The 18,041-nt window shown below is 38.4% G+C and overlaps 1 protein-coding gene across 27 annotated transcripts in view; it reads left to right on the top strand.

The window, feature by feature from the left end:
* The window catches only part of ODAD2 (outer dynein arm docking complex subunit 2), a 187,508-nt gene that overhangs the window by 144,427 nt on the left and 25,040 nt on the right, over nt 1-18,041 (top strand). The window contains exon 13 of one of the 27 annotated variants that reach the window (NM_001290021.2): nt 1,886-2,007. The exons of the other annotated variants lie outside the window; for them this stretch is intronic. Within the exon in view, the coding sequence (NP_001276950.1) occupies nt 1,886-2,007 (122 nt within the window). The remainder of the gene's footprint in view (nt 1-1,885; nt 2,008-18,041) is intronic. 27 annotated transcript variants of the gene reach the window in all.

The raw sequence follows: 18,041 nt of genomic DNA, 5'->3' as shown, positions 1-18,041 counted from the left end.
AATATCATATGTACATCAAATGCTTTTCTTATTTCAATTTTTTTTTAATTTTAAGAGATCTTGACAGCTTTAAGGAATAATTGACATACACATGCACATTTTAAGGTGTACACTTTGATAGATTTTGACATATATATGCCTACACCCACACATACACATGAAACTATTACCAAACCAAAATGTTGATCACCCACAGTTTCCTGGTACCCTTACATAATCCCTGTCTCCTGCCCCACTCTGCCTGGGCCAATCACTGGTCTGCTTTCTGTCAATATAGATAAGTTTTCATTTTCTAGAACTTAAGAAAAATGGGTTCCTACAGTAAGTACTTGGTTTTTTTGTTTGGCTTCCTTCACTCAGCTTACTTATTTTCGTATTAATTCACATTCTTATGTGGCTCAATCAACTCTTTTATCTCTGAGTGGTAGTCCGTTGTATGAAATTATCATAATTTGGTTATCCTTTCTTTTTTTGTTTTGTTTAGTTTTGTTTTGTGACAGAATCTGTCTCTGTGGCCCAGGGTGGAGTTCAGTGGCGCGATCTGGGCTCACTGCAACCTCTACCTCCTTGGCTCAAGCAATTCTCATGCCTCAGCCTCCCGAGTAGCTGGGGTTACAGGCATGCACCACCACACCGGGCTAATTTTTGTATTTTTGGTAGAGACTGGGTTTTGCCATGTTGGCCAGAGTGGTCTCAAACTCTTGACCTCAAATGATCTGCCCACCTCATCCTCCCAAAGTGTTGGGATTACAAGCGTAAGCCACTGTGCCCAACCTCCTTTCATTTGTTAATGAATATTTATTTCCGGTTTGGGTTGTTACAAATAAAGCTGCTACGAACATTCATGTACAAGTCATTGGGTGGACATTTGCTTCCTCTTCTCTTAGGTAAATACCTAGGAGTGAATGGCTGGATCATACGGTATGTGTACCTTTAACTTTTTAAAAAATTGCCAGATCGTTTTCCAAAGTGTGCCATTTTTGCATTCCCACCAGCTGTATAGGAAAGCATCCTTGCCAACACTTGGTATGGCCAGTCTTTTTGATTTTAGACATTCTAACAGGTATGTCATGGTATCTTATGATTTCAATTTCAATTTTTCTAATGATTAATGATGTGGACATCCTATGTGCTTGTATATCAGCTGTATAACTCCTCGGGCAAAGTGTTCACATTTTTGACCACTTTTTAATTAGGTTGTTTTCTTATCATTGGGTTTTGAGAGTTCTGTATACATTCTGGTTGCTTACCATATGTGTAATTTGCAAATATTTTCTCCCCGTCTGTAGCTAGTCTTTCATTCTCTTAACTGTATCTTTTGAAGAGCAGAAGTTTTTAACGCTGGTGAAGTCCAATTTATTTTTTTAATGAATTGTGTTTTTGGTTGCATATCTGAGAAATATTTGCCTAACACATGGTCTCAAGGATTTCATGCTTTCTTCTGAAGTTTTATAATTTTTGGTTTTTCACTTTTAGTCTATGACCCATTCGAGTAAACTTTTTTATGATACTAATTATGAATCAAAGTTCATTTGGAGGGCATATTAGCATTATTTATTGAAAAAACTGTTTGCTCTTTTCTCACTGAATTTCTTTTGCAATTAAAAAACAACTGGACCAGGCAGAGTGGCTCATGCCTGTAATCTGTATTATTATAAAATGGTCATCTTTATTCTTGGTCATATTCTTTGTTTTGAAATCATTTTCTGATACTAATATAGACACCCTTGGTTTTTTTGAGAGGGTACTAATATTAGCATACTAAAGTTTTATAGCTTTTAATATCCTTTAATCATATTTGTGTCTTTTCACTTAAAGTGGATAATAGTAGGCAGCATATAGTTAGGGCTTACTTTTATTTATTTATTTATTTATTTATTTATAGACAGAGTCTCGCCATGTCGCCAGGCTAGAGTGCAGTGACAACGATCTTGGCTCACTGCAACCTCCACCTCCCGGATTCAAGCGATTCTCCTGCCTCAGCCTCCTGAGTAGCTGGGATTACAGGCATGTGCCAGCATGCCCAGCTAATTTTTGTATTTTTAGTAGAGACAGGGTTTCACCATGTTGGTCAGGATGGTCTCAATCTCCTGACCTCGTGATCTGCCGGCCTCGGCCTCCCAAAGTGCTGGGATTACAGGTGTGAGCCACTGCGCCCGGCCAGGGCTTACTTTTTTATTCAGTCTTTTATACAACCTCTGCCTTTATTGGGAGGGGAAGTGGTTACACTATTTACATTTAATGTGATATTGACACGGTTAGCTTTTCTTTTTTTTTTTTTTTTTTTTGAGACTGTGTCTCGTTCTGTCACCCAGGCTGGAGTGCAACGGCGCGATCTCAGCTCACTGCAACTTCCACCTCCCAGGTTCAAGCGATTCTCCTGCCTCAGCCTCCTGAGTAGCTGAGATTACAGGCTCATGCCACCATGCCTGACTACTTTTTGTATTTTTAGCAGAGACGGGGTTTTGCCATGTTGGTCAGGCTGGTCTCGAACTCCTGACCTCAGGTGATCCACCCGCCTCCGCCTCCCAAAGTGCTGGGATTATGGGCGTGAGCCACTGTGCCCGGCCACGGTTAGCTTTAAATGTACCATCTTGTTATTTGTTTTCTATTTTTCCCATCTGCTTTTTCTCTTTACTCATCTTTTTCTATCTCCTCTTGGATTATTTGAATATTTTATCATTTCATTTTATCTCATTTTTGGCTTATTAGTTATTATTCCGTGTTGTCATTTAGTGATTGCTTTAGAGTTCATAGCATATGTATTTAATTCAGTATAATGTAAGTTCTAGTAATGTTATACATATAAACATATAATTTAAGAATTGTACAACCATATGCTTCCATTTTTGCCCTCCCCACTTTTATGCTATTTTTATCATACAAGTGTTATAAGCTCAACTGTATTGTTCTTGTTTTTGACTGTAAACAATTGTCTTTCCCAGAGATTTAAATACACAGGAAAATGCCTTTTCTATTTACCTTCATAGTTACTGTTTCCAGTGCTATTTATTCCTTTCTGTAAATGCAGATTTTCTCCTGATATCATTTTCCTTCTGCCTAGAAGACTTTTAACTTTCCTGGTAGTACAGTTCTGTTTATGATAAATTCGTTCAGGTCTTATATATCTAAAAAAGACTTTTTATTTTGTCTTTGTTTTTGAAAAATATTTTTGCTGGGTATAGAATTTTATGTTGACTTCTTTTCTTTCCCAACTTTAAACATGGTGCTCCATTTTATTATCACCTGCATTGTTTTAGAGAGGAAATCTGTTATCATGCTTATGTTTGTTCCTCTGTATGTCATGTATCTTTTTGCGTTGGCTGTTTTTAAGATTTCATCATTTTCACTGGTTTGGAGAAATTTGATTATGATGGGCCTTGTGTAGTTTCCTTCATGTTTCTTGTGCTTGGACTTTGCTAAGCTTCTGAGATCTGTGGGCTTGTGGTTTTCATCATATTTAGAAATTTTTCAGCCATTATTTCTTCAAATATGTTTACATCCTGTTCTCTTTTTACTGTCCTTGTAAACGCCACTTTCACCTGTATTTGGTGAAAATATAGGTAAACGTTTTCCCACAGCTCCCTGAGACTTTGTTTACTTTGTTCTTTCTGTGTTTTAAATTAGGATTTTTTTCTTTGTCTTCAAGCTCACTTTTTTTTCTGCAATGTTTAATTTGCCTTTATTGCCATCTAGTGTGTTTTACATCTGCAATACTATCGACGTTTCATTTGGATCTCCTTTCACATCTTTCGTGTCTCTACTTGACATGTTGAGTCTTTTTCTAATCTCATATGTAATCCAATTCTAATATTATTTCTGGGTTGCTTTCAATTCCTTGAATGTTAACATGTTGAGTGATGGGTTTTTATTTTTTGGGGGAACAGGATATCTATAAATATTCCCGAGCTTTGTTCTAAGAATCAGATTGCTATTTTGAAACAATTTGATCCTTTCAGTTCTTACTTTTATGCTTTGTTAGCAAGACTAGAGTAGGGATAATTTTTTCCCACTACTGAGGCAAGACCTCTGGCTACTCTACCTGATACCCTGTGCATTATGAAGTCTTCCACTCTGAGTGGTGGACGGACACTGTTCCTCCCCTTGCAGGAGTTTAGAAGATTATTCCTTCTAATCTTTTCAGGTGGTTCTTTTCCTGCCCTCAAACAGTTTCTTCTCATACAGGTGCTAAGCAGTACTGAGCCGAATATTCAAGAGGCACCTTCCGCAGACCCCAGGTTTCTCTGTTCCACTCCCCAATCTCCATTATCTGCCCTGAAGACTCTAGTGGCTGTGGTTCTCCCAGACTTCCAGCTCTGTCTCCTCAACTCGGACAGACTGTCAGGCTTTGTCTGGGCTCTCCCTCCCTGTGCTGTAGCCTATAAACATTCTCCCTGGAGTTAGTCTGGGTCAATCTTAGGGCTTACCTTTTTTGTTTTCCTTCTCTCAAGAATCACTGTCTTTTGTTGTCTGATTTCCAATATTTTGAAAGTTGTTGTTTCACAGTTTTTTTCCATTTTTAAATTATTTTAGACAGGAAGGTAAATCCAGTCCCCGTTACTCCATCTTAACATGAGGCAGTCTTTTCTTTTGATATTTTCTCTTAGAGAATAAATTTATAGAAAGTTAGGGCTGGTAAAGCCAAGGTTTTCATTTTATTTATTTATTTATGTAGATGTTTATTTATTTATTGGGACAGAGTCTCGCTCTGTCACCCAGTCTAGAGTGTAGTAGTACGATATCAGCTCACTACAACCTCCGCCTCCCACGTTCAAGTGATTCTTTTTTTTTTTTTTTTTTTTTTGAGACGGAGTCTCGCTCTGTCGCCCAGGCTGGAGTGCAGTGGTGTGATCTCAGCTCACTGCAAGCTCTGCCTCCCAGGTTCACGCCATTCTCCTGCCTCAGCCTCCAGAGTAGCTGCGACTACAGGCGCCTGCCACCACGGCCGTCTAATTTTTTTGTTTTTGATAGAGAGGGGGTTTCACCATGTTGGCCAGGCTGGTCTCAAACTCCTGACCTCAAGTGATTCACCCGTCTTGGCCTCCCAAAGTGTTGAGATTACAGGTGTGAGCCGCCACGCCCAGCAAATGTTTTCACTTTAAACACACAGTTCGCAGACGAGGAAACTAAGGCCCAAATTAGTGAAGTATCTAAACCTACACCATCAATATATGATGTGACATCATAAATTATTGTAATATTCACTTTAGTGCTGTGTCCATTTGATTAGTAGATTTCAAACCGTGACTCATGGAACTTCGGGTTCCCCTGACAGAGATCAGGGACTGGTACTCAGAGCTCTTGCTGGGTGGTTCACCTACTGCAATTAGAGCAGCTACTTTTTCTGTTTTACAAATTAGAATCATGCACAAGCTCCTATTTTAGAGTAGCTTTTGCGACTTTAAAAAGAATTGAAAATTACTGCACTTGGCCATGCTGCCCTTTAGTAGTTCTGTTTATGAAACCCATTAGGAACTATTTTTTCACATTTATTTAGCACTTTGCTTCTCTATGATAGAGAAGTTTGCAAAATCAGATTATCTTCAGTAGGAATTAAGAATTCTCATCTTGAATTTTATACTAGAGGATGACTCTTTAAAGCCACTTTTTTCCCTCTCTTTTTAAGTTTTCCATGGGGAGCTCTAGGCAATGCTTTTGCCTCTGAGGTGATTCAGCTGACTTCTTTATTATTATTATTATTATATTTTAAGTTCTAGGGTACATGTGCACAATGTGCAGATTTTTTACCTATGTGTACATGTGCCATGCTGGTGTGCTGCACCCATTAACTCGTCATTTACATTAGGTGTATCTCCTAATGCTATCCCTCCCCCTCCTCCCACCCCACGACAGGCCCCGGTATGTGATGTTCCCCTTCCTGTGTCCAAGTGTTCTCATTTTTCAATTCCCACCTATGAGTGAGAACATGCAGTCTTTGGTTTTCTGTTCCTGTGTTAGTTTGCTGAGAATGATGGTTTCCAGCTTCATCCATGTCCCTACAAAGGACATGAACTCATCCTTTTTCGTGGCTGCATAGTACTCCATGGTGTATATGTGCCACATTTTCTTAATCCAGTCTATCATTGATGAATATTTAGGTTGGTTCCAAGTCTTTGCTATTGTGAACAGTGACGCAGTAAACATACGTGTGCATGTGTCTTTATAGCAGCATGCTTTATAATCCTTTGGGTATATACCCAGTAATGGGATGGCTGGGTCAAATGGTATTTCTAGTTCTAGATCCTTGAGGAATCACCACACTGTCTTCCACAATGGTTGAACTAGTTTACAGTCCCACTAACAGTGTAAAAGTGTTCCTATTTCTCCACATCCTCTCCAGCACGTGTTGTTTCCTGACTTTTTAATGATCGCCATTCTAACTGGTGTGAGATGGTATCTCATTGTGGTTTTGATTTGCATTTCTCTGATGGCCAGTGATGATGAGCATTTTCTCGTGTGTCTATTGGCTTCATAAATGTCTTCTTTTGAGAAGTGTCTGTTCATATCCTTTGCCCACTTTTTGATGGAGTTTTTTCTTGTAAATATGTTTGAGTTTTTTGTAGATTCTGGATATTAGCCCTTCGTCAGATGGGTAGATTGCAAAAATTTTCTCCCATTCTGTAGGTTGCCTGTTTGCTCTGATGGTAGTTTCTTTTGCTGTGCAGGAGCTCTTTAGTTTAATTAGATCCCATTTGTCAATTTTGGCTTTTGTTACCATTGTTTTTGGTGTTTTAGACATGAAGTCCTTGCCCATGCCTATGTCCTGAATGGTATTGCCTAGGTTTTCCTCTAGGGTTTGTATGGTTTTAGGTCTTTAATCCATCTTGAATCAATTTTTGTATAAGGTGTAAGGAAGGGATCCAGTTTCAGCTTCCTACATATGGCTAGCCAGTTTTCCCAGCACCATTTATTAAATAGGGAATCCTTCCCCCATTGCTTATTTTTGTCAGGTTTGTCAAAGATCAGATGGTTGTAGATGTGTAGTATTATTTCTGAGGGCTCTGTTCTCTTTCATTTGTCTATATCTCTGTTTTGGTACCAGTACCATGCAGTTTTGGTTACTGTAGCCTTGTAGTATAGTTTAAAGTCAGGTAGTGTGATGCCTCCGGCTTTGTTCTTTTGGCTTAGGATTGTCATGGCAATGTGGGCTCTTTTTTGGTTCCATATGAACTTTAAAGTAGTTTTTTCCAGTTCTGTGAAGAAAGACATTGGTAGCTTGATGGGAATGGCATTGAATCTATAAATTACCTTGGGCAATATGGCCATTTTCACGATATTGATTCTTCCTATCCAAGAGCATGGGATGTTCTTCCATTTGTTTGTATCCTCTTTTATTTTGTTGAGCAGTGGTTTGTAGTTCTCCTTGAAGAGTACCTTCACATCCCTTGTAAGTTGGATCCCTAGGTATTTTATTCTCTTTGAAGCAATTGTGAATGGGAGTTCACTCATGATTTGGCTCTCTGTTTGTCTGTTATTGGTGTATAAGAATGCTTGTGATTTCTGCACATTGATTTTGTATCCTGAGACTTTGCTGAAGTTGCTTCTCAGCTTAAGGAGATTTTGGGCTGAGACCTGGGGCTTTCTAGATACACAATCATGTCATCTGCAAACAGGGACAATTTGACTTCCTCTTTTCCTAATTGAATACCCTTTATTTCTTTCTCCTGCCTGATTGCCCTGGCCAGAACTTCCAACACTATGTTGAATAGCAGGGGTGAGAGAGGGCATCCCTGTCTTGTGCCAGTTTTCAAAGGGAATGCTTCATTTTTGCCCATTCAGGATGATATTGGCTGTGGGTATGTCATAAATAGCTCTTATTATTTTGAGATACGTCCCATCGATACCTAATTTATTGAGAGTTTTTAGCATGAAGTGCTGTTGAATTTTGTCAAAGGCCTTTTCTGCATCTATTGAGATAATCATGTGGTTTTTGTCTTTGGTTCTGTTTATATGCTGGATTACGTTTATTGATTTGCGTATGTTGAACAAGCCTTGCATCCCAGTGATGAAGCCCACTTGATCATAGTGGATAAGCTTTTTGAGTTGCTGCTGGATTCAGTTTGCCAGTATTTTATTGAGGATTTTTGCATCAATGTTCATCAGGGATATTGGTCTAAAATTCTCTTTTTTTTCTGTGTCTCTGCCAGGCTTTGGTATCAGGATGATGCTGGCCTCATAAAATGAGTTAGGGAGGATTCCCTCTTTTTCTATTGATTGGAATAGTTTCAGAAGGAATGGTCCCCGCTCCTCCTTGTACTTCTGGTAGAATTTGGCTGTGAATCCATCTGATCCTGGAATTTTTTTGGTTGGTAGGCTATTAATTGTTGCCTCAATTTCAGAGCAACAATTGATCTATTGAGGGATTCAACTTCTTCCTGGTTTAGTCTTGGGAGGGTGTATGTGTCCAGGAATTTATCCATTTCTTCTAGATTTTCTAGTTTATTTGTGTGGAGGTGTTTATAGTATTCTCTGATGGTAGTTTGTATTTCTGTGGGATCGGTGGTGATATCCCCTTTGTCATTTTTTATTGCGTCTATTTGATTCTTCTCTCTTTTCTTCTTTATTAGTCTCGCTAGTGGTCTATCAATTTTGTTGATCTTTTCAAAAAACCAACTCCTGGATTCATTGATTTTTTGAAGGGTTTTTTGTGTCTCTATCTCCTTCAGTTCTGCTCTGATCTTAGTTATTTCTTGCCTTCTGCTAGCTTTTGAATGTGTTTGCTCCTGCTTCTCTAGTTCTTTCAATTGTGATGTTAGGGTGTCAATTTTAGATCTTTCCTGCTTTCTCTTGTGGGCATTTAGTGCTATAAATTTCCCTCTACACACTGCTTTAAATGTGTCCCAGAGATTCTGGTATGTTGTGTCTTTGTTCTCATTGTTTTCAAAGAACATCTTTATTTCTGCCTTCATTTCATTATGTACCCAGTAGTCATTCAGGAGCAGGTTGTTCAGTTTCCATGTAGTTGAGCGGTTTTGAGTGAGTTTCTTAATCCTGAGTTCTAGTTTGATTGCACTGTGGTCTGAGAGACAGTTCGTTATAATTTCTGTTCTTTTACATTTGCTGAGGAGTGCTTTACTTCCAACTATGTGGTCAATTTTGGAATAAGTACGATGTGGTGCTGAGAAGAATGCATATTCTGTTGATTTGGGGTGGAGAGTTCTGTGGATGTCTATTAGGTCCACTTGGTGCAGAGCTGAGTTCAATTCCTGGATATCTTTGTTAACTTTCTGTCTCATTGGTCTGTCTAATGTTGACAGTGGGGTGTTAAAGTCTCCCATTATTATTGTGTGGGAGCCTAAGTCTCTTTGTAAGTCTCTAAGGACTTGCTTTATGAATCTGGGTGCTCCTGTATTGGGTGCATATATATTTAGGATAGTTAGCTCTTCTTGTTGAATTGATCCCTTTACCATCATGTAATGGCCTTCTTTGTCTCTTTTGATATTTGTTGGTTTAAAAGTCTGTTTTATCAGAGACTAGGATTGCAACTCCTGCCTTTTTTTGTTTTCCATTTGCTTGGTAGGTCTTCCTCCATACCTTTATTTTGATCCTATGTGTGTCTCTGCACATGAGATGGGTCTCCCGAATACAGCACACTAATGGGTCCTGACTCTTCATCCAATTTGTCAGTCTGTGTCTTTTAATTGGAGCATTTAGCCCATTTACATTTAAAGTTAATATTGCTATGTGTGAATTTGATCCTGTCATTGTGATGTTAGCTGGTTCTTTTGCTTGTTAGTTGATGCAGTTTCTTCCTAGCATCGATGGTCTTTACATTTTGGCATGTTTTTGCAGTGGCTGGTACCAGCTGTTCCTTTCCATGTTTAGTGCTTCCTTCAGGAGCTCTTTTAGGGCAGGCCTGGTGGTGACAAAATCTCTCAGCATTTGCTTATCTGTAAAGGATTTTATTTCTCCTTCACTTATGAAGCTTAGTTTGGCTGGCTATGAAATTCTGGGTTGAAAATTCTTTTCTTTAAGAATGTTGAATATCAGCCCCCACTCTCTTCTGGCTTGTATAGTTTCTGCCAAGAGATCCTCTGTTAGTCTGATGGGCTTCCCTTTGTGTGTAACCCACTGTTTCTCTCTGGCTGCACTTAACATTTTTTCCTTTTTCCTTCATTTCAACTTTGGTGAATCTGACAATTATGTGTCTTGGAGTTGCTCTTTTCGAGGAGTATCTTTGTGGTGTTCTCTGTATTTCCTGAATTTGAATGTTGGCCTGCCTTGCTGATTCAGCTGACTTCTAAAATATCCAGGAGCACTTGGGAAAAATTGAATGTGCCTAGAAGGGGCTGAGCTAATAGACTGCTTGTCTTCTTCATCCAAGCTCTGCTTCACTATAATGGATCCACCTTGCTTCTGCTAAGTCAAATCCAACTCCTTCGCCACCACCCCATCGCTAGCCAAATAAATTTTCCTCCCCTTCTTAGAGCTACAAGTGAGAAGAAATGAAAAAGAAAAGCTAAGTATAGTAAAAGAGCTAGATAATAATGGAAGTCATATCGTTTTTGTTTTTTCAGCTTCCTGTGTGCCAGACATTTATTCTAAAAGCACATTTACACAGAGTCTTTTATTCAATCTTCTCCATAACCTATTGAGTTGGAAACTTATTATCTTAGTTTTACAGATAAAGAAATTGAGTTTCATAAAGATTAAATAACTTGCCCCAAATCACCCAGGTCATAAGAAAAGGACTCAAGGAGCGTGGGTTTAGAGGCTCCTCTCTGAACCACCATTGGAAGGTATTGCTCAAGTGCCAGATGCACATATATGTGTGGACTCCTATGCTTGCAGTTTTTTCTGAAGGACTGAGCCTGGTTGAGAAACTCTGCTTTATAGGCTAGAGCACAAAAAGGAAGGGGACTTGGCAGAGAGTTTGCTTGCTTCATGGTGGAATGATGTCTGCCCTTCCTGTTAGAACTCCCACATCCTCTTTTGAAAATCCATCCCAAGGGCTCCATTTCTCTTTTCAGTTTTAGCAATTTTCCAACCTCCTTTGCTGCTCTTGCAGCTGGTATATATTCTTAATTTATGCCAATTATTCTTTTTTTTGGTTTGAGACAGGGTCTTGCTCTGTTGTCCAAGTTGGAGTACAGTGGCACGATCATAGCTCACTGAAGCCTCTAACTCCTGTCAAGTGGTCTGTCTGCCTCGGCCTCCCCAGTAGCTGGGACTGCAGGTGCATGTCAGCATACCTGGCTAATTTTTTTATTGTTTGTAGAGATGGGAACTTGCTGTGTTGCCCAGGTCAGTCTTGAACTCAGCCTCAAGCAATCCTCCGACCTCAGCTTCCCAAAGTGCTGGGATTACAGGTGTGAGCATGTTGGGCAGAATTAAACATTGTTGCTAGTAGTGGTTATAGTATATCAAGTTTAAACCAGATTCTTTGTGATTTTTTGAAAAAACAAATCTTTATGTATATTGCATCTTCAGACTATTAATATTCCTAATTTTCAGTGCTAAGTTTTTTGTTTTGTTTTTTTTTGAGACAGAGTATTGCTCTGTCACCCAGGCAGGAGTGCAATGGTGTGATCTCGGCTCATTGCATCTGTGCCTCCCAGGTTCAAGCAATTCTTCTGCCTCAGCCTCCCAAGTAGCTGGGATTACAGGCACATGCCACCACACCCAGCTAATTTTTTTCTATTTTTAGTATAGGTGGTGTTTCATCATGTTGGTCAGCCTGGTCTCAAACTCCTGACCTTAAATGATCCACCTGCCTTGGCTTCCCAAAGTGCTGGAATTACAGGCGTGAGCCACCATGCCCGGCCCTCAGTGCTAAGTTTTACAGTTACCTCTCAGGTAATCAGGAATATGTAGAGCCACTCTGCATCAGCCAGTTGCTTTTTTACCCAGTTATGCTGGGTGGTACACTACACCATCCGCTACAATTGCATTCAAGCTTTGTATATTTTTATAGATCACTGGAATGGTTTGTACATTACTATTGATTCAGCTCGATCTTTTCTAAACCTTCAAGATTTTCATGCACAGATTTGTTGCAGATAGGCTGTTTTTATTTTAAGACTTTGTACTCCACAGTAAACAGCTTCAGCTTATTTTTTAAAAAAATAAACTATGACACCAGTTTCTAATTTGTTCCAGATATGGTTTTCTAATTTATTTTAGATAAAAGTTTCCAGTTTATTCTAGGGAATATATAACATGTGGCCTTAAATGTAATCACAGACATTCTTTACAAATCATACAGCACTTATCCAACATCTTGAGAAATTTATGAAGGATAATTTGAACATGAATCTTTTGTTTTAGGATCCTCTATATATTAAAAGAGTCTATTAAAAATAGTGCTGCTATGAGCATTCTGGACATGTGTTTTGGTGCATATAAGCACTGATTGATGTTGAGTATATGCCCAGGAGCAGAATTGCTGGATCAAAGGGTATATGTATAATTAGCTTTAGTAATTATTATTAAATTATTATTTTTACTCCATTGATTTCATGCCAGATGAGGGTTCAGATATAAAACCTGGATAAATATTTTGTTTGTTCAGAATTTTAATCAATCATCTGACTTGACTTTTTCTTTCAGCATATTTAAATTTAAAGATTTTACTGTGGGGAATTATTTTTGGCTTCTACTTTTAGTTGATCTGGACATGGCCCATGGCTTTATAGAATGTTCTTAAAGACATTTATATGTTTTTGAATTTTCTGTTTAATAAATTAATCTTTCAAATGGTAGAAGATTGATAACTATTTGTGAAAAATAGTTATCCACTCCATTCCCATATATTGCTTGTTAATTTATTGTAATCAGAGGAAAATATGTATTGCTAATTGGAGGCACAATCTCTTGAAAAGTTTGGTCAAGAATGATCATGTATGCTTAGTGTCTATCCAGAAAATGACATTCTTCACAAGGGCACCCTTTTTTCAAAGAAATGAAATAAAGATACAGTGTAGAGATTCTCCACATGGGCAGGACCTGTCCTTCTATTCACCATCCCCAGAATTCAGGAAGAGAGAGCAAGCCCAAGGCTCGCATAACCCTCTCAACCATTTAAGAAGAGACGGGTCAAAAACATGTAAATGGACAAAATAATTACCAAGTGTGCTGAATGCTGTAAAGGAAACAAAGGGGGTCAAATGAAGACTAATGAAGGGACAACCCATTTTATACAGGGAAGTCAGAGAAGGCATCTTTGAAGAGATGCATCTTAACTAAGGAGAATGAAGTGAGGAGAAGAATTTGCAGCCAGAGGGAAAGTGTTTGTTCAGCGGCCATAGGGTAGGAATGTGCCTAAAATTTCTGAGGACTAGCCTGGGCAACATAGGGAGACCCTATCTCCACAAAAAATAAAAATAAATAAGCCAGGCATGGTGGTGCATACCTGTAGTCCCAGCTACTCAGGAGGCTCAGGTGGGAGGATCACTTTAGCCTGGGAGGTCGAGGCTGCAGTGAGCTGTGAATGCACTACCATACTCCAGCCTGAATGACAGAGCAAGATCCTTTCTCTAAACAAAAAACAAACAAAAAAAGATGATCACTCTTGGAGGTGTATAGGGACAGGATCAGAAAGACTGGAAGCAGATCTGCCGGGGTGGTGGCTCATACCTGTAATCCCAGCAGTTTGGGAGGCCGAGGCAGGCAGATCACCTGAGGTCAGGATTTCAAGACCAGCCTGGCCAACATGGTGAAACCCCGTCTTTACTAAAAATACAAAAATTAGCCGGGCATGGTGGCGGGCACCTGTAATCCCAGCTACTCAGGAGGCCGAAGCAGGAGAATTGCTTGAACCTGGGAGGTGGAGGTTGCAGTGAGCTGAGATCGCACCACTGCACTCCAGCCTAGGTGACAGAGCAAGACTCCGAAAAAAAAATAAAAATAAGAAAAAAGAAGGGAAAGAAAAGAAAAACTGGAAGCTGATCTGTCTACGAGGCTGGTGAGCTGTAAGCGCATGAGAAATGGTGGCTTAGTTACAGATTGGATGAGAGATTAAGGGAACAGGAAGAATTAAGAATCCATTCACAAACCTTTTTTCTACCACAAAGAGGGAAATAATCATAGTAATAACAGTTGCTAGCAAGCCCATTTTTATTTTAAATTTCATTAGATAACTTGGAGTACCCATTAAGTGAATAATTATCCAATATTAGAATATTAGGCTTAATAATTACACTAGCAAATAGTCAATATAAATAGCTCATATATATGTTACAAAATGTGTATTTCAGGTTGATCTATTTTAAAAAGAATAACAATCAATTACTGAGCATTCACCCGTGGCCTATGTGCTTTATTCCTTATTTCATTTAATCTTCACTGTACCCCTGTGGTGCAGGCATTACTCTCCCATTTTAAAGACTGGGAAGCTTTAGCTCGACAGTCTGATGCATCCAAAGTCCTACAGATGCAATGCAGGATCTGCTATAAATCAATAAATTACTTCATAACTCAAACTTATGCACCAAAGAGAATTCCCATGGGCAAGAAAGCAGCAGAGCCCTAAGAAGGCGCTGAGCTCCAAAGCCTTTAGCATCTTTTTTCCAACTGCCATCTCTCCACTTTTCTTATTTGTTTCCTTTTATTCTTTCTATGCCAGTTGGCTTCCTCTCTTTTGCCACTGTTTTCTTTACTGCTTCTCCTGGATCTAGGTATCCAGCCACCCAAGGAGGCCACATATTTTCTCCACCCCCATTTTCAGTTCAAAAATCTCAGACAAGGGAAGCTGATTGGCCCAGTTTAAGAAAAGTACCCACCCCCTTGTCCAATCAGTGGTGGACAATGAAGCATGTGATACTTTACAAGATGGCTTCCAAGACTTGCCATTGGAGGTGGAACACAAAGGCAGTCAAGGGCGTTCATGATGTGCTGGGAAGGCACTCCAAAAGATGTGCACGAAAGTGACAACTCAGAATTTAAATTTCTGAACCAACTGACATGAGAAATTCTTAGGTCAGTTGATATTCACTATCTTTTGTCACACTGTTATTTAGGCTGTTTTAGAGTCAAATATATGCTTTTATTATGAGGTTGTTATTGCAGTTGTTTTAAAGATGTACGTAAATATGTACAAATAGATCAATAAAAATAGAAAAAAATGTACAGAGGGCATTTTACCCAATATTTAACTTGTAGAATATTTTACCTCAGTTGTGAAAATGACAAATTCTTGCTGACAGCTTTGGCTGGTTTTATTTATTATTATTGTTTTATTTTTATTAAAGAACTCTTTCATAAGGCAAGCTTTGTGAGTTAAATCGATGTAAATTATTAATGTGAAAGGTAATTATTTATAATATTTTTGAAAATATTCCAGACTCAGCTACTGCCAACTGCTGGTATGGATTTAGCATCCTGAAATTTAAACAGAATAACAGTTGACTCTTTTTTGTCAAATACTTTGTGATTATAGGAGGTGTACTATTATACTGTCAACCTGAGTTTAAGAAAAGATACGCTCCTTCACCATTTTAAATCTGTGCAAAACAGTCTTCACTTTATGCACATATAAACCTGTGAAGCATTCCCATGTTGGTTTGGGGATTTTAAACTTGGCAAATTATACATCTTTATATGTTATATCTGTCGCTGTTGGCTCCCAACTTTATGTTTAAACCACAGCGTTTTTCTGGCGCTCACATGAAGCTAATACTCTTCCACTGCTTTAAATTAGCTGCTACTTAATGATTAAGAAAGTGCACTAGATGGCAAATAACATTAGTAACAATAATATTTCCAAGTCACTGTCAGCTATACGGTAGGCCTCAATTTGGGGCTGTTTAAAAACCAAATATCTGACCATAATGTTGCACTCAAAAACTTCATAGCAACAGGTGAACACCCCTCATCTTTTGCTTTTGTTTGGTTTAGAAGAAACTAATAAAATCTGAAAACAAAAAGTCATTTCCCTCTGAGTTACGTAAAAAGCTTATCAGGTGTGAGCCTCTCTTTCCTGAGTTGAGTGAAGCCAGAAGCCATTGCCTTCATACTTGCTGCCGCGTGTCATATTTTTAGAGATTGTTACTTATATATCTTCAGAAGTTTACTATAGAATCACTGCCAGCTCAGAAAAAAATTCAGGGTTAAGAAGTATTGGATTCCACAAAAATTTGATTTTGGACGGGAGAGTTATTCCTTTTCTTAACATCATCATGTTACCAAAATTAGGAATGTTGGACTACGTTACAGTTTTTCTGATCACAAATAGAAGAAAACGACAGAGCTGGGTAGCTTATCTTGCCTAAATTGAACAGTCCAGGATTCCTCCAAATTTAAATAGGTTTGGATATCAAAAGCGTTAGATTGGCATAAGATGATGCTGGCACATGTTGAAGCATCTTTTGGTTTCAAAGAAAGACGCTTTCCTGACGACCTGTAGGTCCTTGGATCTGTTCAACAGTAGCTATGTCCCGCAGCTTTTTTTGTTGATAAAAGATCCGTTTCAAATAATTGCAGCCAACTCTGTAGAAATAATTGCCTTCTAAAAAAGAGAGTTTTGGAGGGTCAAAAATACACAAACAGTATGGTAAAATAAAGTATATGCTGCTCCTTTTAATGGAAAAGATTGCTACTGGGTACCTTTGCCAAATTCAATCAGTGTGCCAAAAAGTCGAGGAATCTGGCAGATGCTATAGAGAGCAGTTCCATCTTTCATCTATATTTCGTTTCTGTATTTATCTAGCTTTAGAAAATGCTGGGAATGTCTTTTCCTTCCGACTTGGCCCTTTTGCTAAACCACAGAAATACACCGGCAGCTTCTTGTAATTGTTTGGTTACTTAGAGTGCAGTCAGTCTTTAAACTTGTGAGAAATATATTCTTTCCATTGGAAATTATGAAACACCAACAACTATTTGTTCTCACTTTCTGAAATTTATCACAGGAAAAAAATCCATTATATTAATTGGCAGCTATTTGACTCAATACACAAAGGCAGAAAGCCAACTCATTATTTTTAGCCTTCAGCTGACCCAAAATAGTGTTCTCGTATAAGAAGTTATTCACAGATGCTAAATGTAAGAATTACTACTACTAATAATGGTATTTCAGACTTCATGAGTAAGTAGTTTTTGGCACTCAGAAAATATCTTGTTTTTTCCCTTGAAAACAGCAATCCTGTTAAATACAAAAAGTAAACAGTGCTTGAATTAGTACGTTGGAGTTTTTAATGTGCCAAAAATATGCTCGCATTAATATTCCCTCCTAAGACTCCTTTTTTTTCAGTTTCTTCAGGATTAATCCATTTTTGTTATTTAAAAAAATACAAAAATCTTAGATTCTTAGGATCTTTGTTCTCTGTGTTTCCCAATCCATCGCCGTGGGGTAAGATGTCACTTACTGAAATGTCTTCGGAAATAAAAGTACAGGAGCTAAAAAAAAGTTACATTAAAAATCAAATTTATTACACCTTATGCAGATTTCAGTCAGAACAACTATTGTCTTTAGGAGTGATGGACCACAATGGCTTATCCTTATGGTTGACAAGTCAGGGCTTGCGGATGCTGTGTTCATTTACAATACACTTGTGGGAATAAACACTTGATTCTCTACGTCTTTGTTTACCCATGAGCAAAAGTAAGAGAAATATTTATAAAGTTTATTTTGTCGTTCTTTATGACCCACGTTTAAATTTTAATCCTGGCAGAGAGAGGGAATTAGAAAAGCACCCTAATGTTCCATTTACAGCAGTGAAAACCATCATTCAGTTTGATGCCTTAGTCTGTATTTATACCTCTGCTTATTATAAGAACATAAAATATACACACTAATGACTGAAAACGCTGATATTTTCTCTAGACCCATGATTTTCTGATTGTGGAAACCTGATCAAATTTCTGTGAAAATAAGTTTCTAAGGTATTTTTTCTTAGATGATCACTTGCCTAGGAAATGACTTGCCAGAACGTCAACCTGATATTTTCATTCATTCCATTTTGCATACAGAGAAGTAAAAACAAAAACCTCCTTGGGAATTAACTGTCTTTATCAAAGAAGTGTAGAAACACTCATCTAAGATGTGTGGCCAGGATGGCCCCCACGATAGGTCTCACTCTGAGTGACCAGTACGGGACCATGTGGTC

Source organism: Homo sapiens, chromosome 10 (assembly GCF_000001405.40).
Source record: "Homo sapiens chromosome 10, GRCh38.p14 Primary Assembly".
Lineage (NCBI taxonomy): Eukaryota > Metazoa > Chordata > Mammalia > Primates > Hominidae > Homo > Homo sapiens.
The sequence above is the reverse complement of the archived record's forward strand: the minus strand, read 5'-3'. Positions and strand labels throughout refer to the sequence as shown.